This window comes from Homo sapiens, chromosome 18 (assembly GCF_000001405.40).
Source record: "Homo sapiens chromosome 18, GRCh38.p14 Primary Assembly".
In the NCBI taxonomy this organism is placed as follows: Eukaryota; Metazoa; Chordata; class Mammalia; order Primates; family Hominidae; genus Homo; species Homo sapiens.
The window spans coordinates 57,497,507-57,503,506 of NC_000018.10; positions in this window are offsets into that span (position 1 = coordinate 57,497,507).

Consider the following 6,000-nt stretch of genomic DNA (forward strand, 5'->3'; position numbering starts at 1 on the left):
TGCAGTGAGAACACTCTGAAATAATGTTCACCAACTCCCTGTTCTTGGTTAGGATGATTTACTGCCTCCATATTGAACCTTGAACAAACAGACACATGAGTAACACCAAGCTGTCTGTGCCAAAGTTTATTAAAATAAGTCACAGTCATTGCAACAAAGAAGAAACATAGTCCCATCCTGTTGAAGACCATATGTTAATTTCAATATAATGACACTTTATGTGTGCATTTATTCATCTCATTTTTTCCTGCAGCCTATACTGCAGGTATTATTATTATTATTCCCATTGAATAATTAAATGGTAAAAGTTTAAATCATCTTCCACTGCCTCATGTAATAAGGACAGCTTACATGTGTAGATATTTACTCTGTGCTAGGTATTGTGCTAAACTTTTCACGATTTATCTCATCTTGTTCTATCTTGTGAGGCAAGTACTGTAATTATCCCCACAATACATATGAAGGAACTGCTCTTTAGAGAAATAAAGTAACTTGCTTCAGGTCACACACTAGACAGGCTGACTCCAAGCCTAAGCTATTATTAGCGTCGAGTTTTCCTTCAGCCAATGGCAGAGCTTATCCTCGTATTCACTGCTTAGGACTCTGACTCATGTGTTCTTTCAACAGAATTCTGATTGCTAAGCAGCTGAGATGGGTAGAAGTGAAGGTAACTAGTGCTAACGCCCTCCCAGCATCTCCAATATAAATGCATTCACAGCCGTGATGCTGTGGTTTATGGCTGCTCAGAACTTGCTCACATTTCCAAGTCTTCATTTCACCCTTGGAGAACTCCATTCAGGACATGTATGTAGAACTCCATGGAGCTTACAACCAATGATTTGGGATGTCCCAAACCACACAGAAGCATACAGAAGTGCAGGTGAGATATCACTGTGGGCTGTGCATATTCACAGGATTGCAAGAGCTGCCACATTGAAACCAGATAGAAAGAGCCTGGTATTGGCGTGAACTAGTGGCTACAAATACATCTCCTAACTGGGGCACTTTGGGTAACCTCACTTGAGCTTTAAATGGTCTCAAAAATCATCATTGCCATTGTTGTCATCATCATCTTCACCTTCACCACCCTGGCTGAATTTTTAGGAGACCAGTAAATAACACTCCTGCTTTCTCTTTCTGAGTTTAGATCGAATAGAAATAAGACACAAAAATGAGAGTCTTTTTAAAAATCAGCTTTATTGGTAAAGCTGATTCCCCCCAAGCTGAGCTTCCCCGCCTAAATCTGCAGTCCAATTCTTTCTTCACCCGTCACAGGGAGGCGGGAAGGAGTTACTCCAAAGAGCACTTCCAATAAACCTCCACATGTAAATTTTGGCTTCTCAGAGTCTGTTTCCCAGGGAACCTAACCTAAGACACCCATTTACATGCCTCCCTTTACTCCACCTCTTCCCAGAACTGGCCTATTCTACAATTAGAGACCTTCCTTTCCTAAGGAAAAATGTGCAAAATAAAATATCAACGTTCTCTAAGATCTGCTGTGAGAAGGTCAAATCAGAACAATGGACAGCCTCCAAAACCATCCTCCTTCCCATGCTTAATGACTGCCCACTGCTCCTCAGCTGCCTCCCTCTGGCTGGGCCTCTTCCTGCTCAGCATTCTAGAGCAGCCCCGCAGGCTCTCCTCTACCCACAGGGAAGAGCAGAACAGGAGACAGGAGGTCCTTGTTCCTTGATGGGCTGAAGAAGGATGTTCATGGTCCACTGTACCAATGAGGCAACTAGTATCCCTTCAGAGAAGCAGTTGCACCTTCCAAACCCAATCTGGCCATCTAGCTACTCAGGATTGAGCTATGCTCAGGCATTTCTTCCAGGGACAGCTTTCAAAAACCACAAGTCTAAGAACAAAGAATGAGTTTGTACCTCCTGCACGCACCATGGAAAACCTTACACACAGAGAGAATGGACAGTAGCCTTTATGGAATATGAGATAAAAGTGCTACCTGCTCTGACATTGTGTCTAAAACCCCACCAACACAGAGTACTGGGGGGAGGGGGCATTGTCCTCTTTGGGTATTCACTTTTGTTTATCTTTCCTTTAAAGTACATCTCTTACATTTATATATATATATATGCAACATTTTTTGTTGTCACAGCTGAAGAAGTGTTGCTGGCATCTAAAGGGTAGAGGCCAGGGATGCTACTAAATATCCTGTAATGCACAGGATGGCCACCCGCTACAAAGGTTCTCCACCCCCGAGTGTCAGTAGTCCAAGAATGAGACACTCTGCTCCATACCCATTTCCTTCTCTCATAGCAATGTTATCATTTCTTTTGTATGTGTTCACATAAAATCTGCATTGTAGGGTGCATGCATTTTCAATTTATGTAACTAGTATTATATTAGATTATCTCACGCTACCTTATGGTTTATACTGTTTTTGAGGTCTGTTTATATTACTGTGTGCACTCTAATGCATTGCTTCTGGGTTCTACATAGAAATCCACAGAATGCATCACCACATTGTTCCCATCCATCACCTCCAGAAAGGGATCCCCAGGTTGCCTCCTAGTCTCTACCATCATAAACTTTGCTACAGAGAACATCCTTGTGCATGTTCCAGTATGGCCCTGCATGAGAACATCTGTGGGGTAAATACCAGGAGTGGAATTGCTGGATATCAGGTAGATGTATTGTAAACTTGACCAGATATTGACAGACATCTCTCCAGAAAGACTCTCCCAGTCCATACTGAAACCAGCAGGCCATGACGCTTTGTAGGTCCCTCATTTAAAAGGTACTCTTCTTGAAAATGCACATAACCTATATTAAGATTAGCATATTAAATCATTATTACCTTCCAGATGAATCCATCAGACCATCTTCCTCACAGGAAGTAGCTTCAGTGGCCTGGGTGCCTAGGCTAGAAAGGCTTCAGGTAGGGGTTATAAGTAGAAAGAAAAGTGGGAGGACCCAAAGACAGACCCTCTTCTGCCCTCCGGGAAAATTTTCTTCCCTCCTGAATTCGCTGCCATCCGTTTTAATGGATTGTTTGTGTCTTCCATTATTAAACTTTCTTTTTAACTTTTATAACTTCAACTTGAAGGGTGTTTTCTTTTTCCATAAGCAGTCTCAGCCTAAATCAAGGGGAACAACCTAGAGAAACAGAAGCACGCAGGGTTCAGACTTCTGAGAGGCATTCATGCTCATCGCGGCACCGCTCCTGCTTCCTCAGTCATTCAGCTCGCCCACGGGATCAATAAAGCGATCAATAAAGCGATAGAACCACAAATAACACAGGCCTATCAGCAATATATTAGCAAAGAGTGTTTAAAAGCAACTTTTAAAGAAGATTCAATAACATTCGACTCCAAAGTTGGCCAACTCCAATGTCCTGAAGCTCAAGTTCATTCCTACCGAGTTAGCAAATGATGGACAACGAGCCTGACTGTCAGACAGATGGGCCTGGACTGCTGGGAAGGCCATCTGGGGATGCCAGAGGGGTTGGACCGACAACAGGGAGCCCCCTGGGAGGGTCTTATGCTCTTGATGGCAGTGCTTTTGAGGGCCAAATGTCCTCAGAGGTGGGTCAGGACAAAATCTTCTCTAGAATAAACAGCTCCTTCAGGTAACAAAAGGGATTTTGCAAAACCCCATTACTTTCTAATACTTTTTTTTTTGAGACATAGTGTCACTCTGTCGTCCAGGCTGCAGTGCAGTGGCACGATCTCAGCTCACTGCAACCTCCACCTTCTGGGTTCAAGTAGTTCCCCTGACTCAGCCTTCCAAATAGCTTGGACTATAGACATGTGCCAAGACGCCAGCTAATTTTTGTATTATTAGTAGAGATGGGGTTTCACCATGTTGGCCAGGATGGTCTCGAACTCCTGACCTCAAGTGATTCACCTGCTTCAGCCTCCCAAAGTGCTGGGATTTCAGGGTGTGAGCCATCGCGCCCAGCGTCTAATACATTTTTCACCTCAGAACAAGGAGTAGCTACTAGGAAATCCCTTTTTATCCACTCTCATGGGTCATTAGGCAACTGAGCTGAGCCCTGGGGTTCCCAATGAGCACCACCCCCCTGGGAGTTTCAGGCCAGAGACAGAACACCTGCTCTCTATGAGGTATTGGACTTGATGTTCAATCAGGCAAAAGGTAATATATATAAACTACTACAACTGGGCCTCACACACAGTGTGAGCTCTACAAGTGATTGCTATTCTTATTGTTGATCATCATAATTGTCATCATGATTATTAGATTCTGAGGATTCAAATGTACGTAAGACAAAGTCCTTTCTTTCAGGGAGTTTGTAGGTAAGTAGTGCAGAGACATATAAGAAACCATTAAAAAAATAAGCATGTAGAATAATAATTGAAAGTTACAATAAGGGCAGTGGAAGAAACAAAGGCCTGGAAGAGAGAATTGGGATGATTCAGGGAATTGTAAATGGGATTAAGCTGTAAAAAAGAGGAAATGCTGCTGGGCACAGTGGCTCATGCCTGTAATCCCAGCACTTTAAGCTGCCAAGGCAGGAGGATCGCTTGAACCCAGGAGTTCAAGGTTACAGAGTGAGATCCTGTAAGCAAAGCAAAGCAAAGAAAAGAAAAAAGAAAAGAAGCAAAGAAAAGGAAATGGAAAAGGAGAGGAGGAAAGGAGACGGGGAGGGAAGGGGAAAAGCTGGGTCCCGTGGCTTACACCTGTAATCTCAACACTTTGGGAGGCCAAGGCAAGCAGATCACTTAAGCCAAGGAACTCCAGACTAGCCTAGGCAGCATAGTGAGACCCCATCTCTATAAATAATATAAAAATTGTCTGGGCATGATGGCACATGCCTGTAGTCCAAGCTACTCGGGAGGGTGAGGTGGGAGGATTGCTTGAGTCCGGTAGGTCAAGACTTCAGTGAGCTGTGATCACACCACTGCACTCTAGCCTGGGTGACAGAGTGAGACCCTGTCTCGAAAAAAGTAAATAAATAAAAGAAGAAGAAATGAGGAAATGCTATGGCCTATGGTAGCTTTGGGCTCTGTCCACTTAGATCTTGAGTTCCCAGAATTTTCTTCCCTGATTAGTTGGGGGTTCATATGAACATAAGAGACATTTTGCACAAGAAACTGGAAATCAAAAGTAAATGAACTGGCTTTTTTTTTTTTTTTTTTTTTATCCTAGGAAGCACAGTGCAGGGCACCGGTGACTGGTGCTGTCACAGATTACACGTGCTGTCCCCGATCCCCTTGTTGGTGCAGGGCAGCAGTCCACCCCGCAGCTCCTGCCCTTGCTCCTCCTTTAGCTGCTCCAAATCCTGGGCTGGTGACAGCAGCTCCATGAAGGGTGCCAGCTTTTTCTGCAGCACCAGCATCGTGAAAGTTGACTGTCAGGAGGAGGCAGTGAGGGACGGATGTGGATTCCAGCTCATCCGCGGAGTTCCCACTCATTTTTCTTCCCCCCAGTTCACATTCTTAGATTGCTTGTGCTTTTGCTGCCACACCTAAGATCCCCTAATCCAAGATCATGAAGATTTACACCTATGTTTTCTTCGAAGAGTTTTATAGGTTTAGCCCTCACATGTACATGTTTGATCCACTTCAGTTTTTGTACATGTTATGAGGTAGAGGTCTAGCTGTTGCATATTTTCCCAGCACCATTTGTTGAAAAGACTGTTCTTTCCCCATGCATTGTCTTGGTAGCTGCACTATTTTACATTCCCACCAGTAACGCTGGAGGATTCCAATTTCTCCACATCTTTGCCAACATTTGATATTGTCTGTCTTTCTGATTATAGCCATCCTAAATGGGTGTGAAGCCATATCTCATTCTCATTTTCATTTGCACTTTCCTAGTGACTGATAATGTTGAGCATATTTTCATGTGGACATTGATTTTTAAAATAAACTTTATGTTTTAGAACAGTTTTAGGTTTGGCCAGGTGCGGTGGCTCACGCCTGTAATCCCAGCACTTTGGGAGGCCAAGGCAAGTGGATCACTTGAGGTCAGAAGTTCAAGACCAGCCTGGCCAGCATGGTGAAACCTCGTTTCTACCAA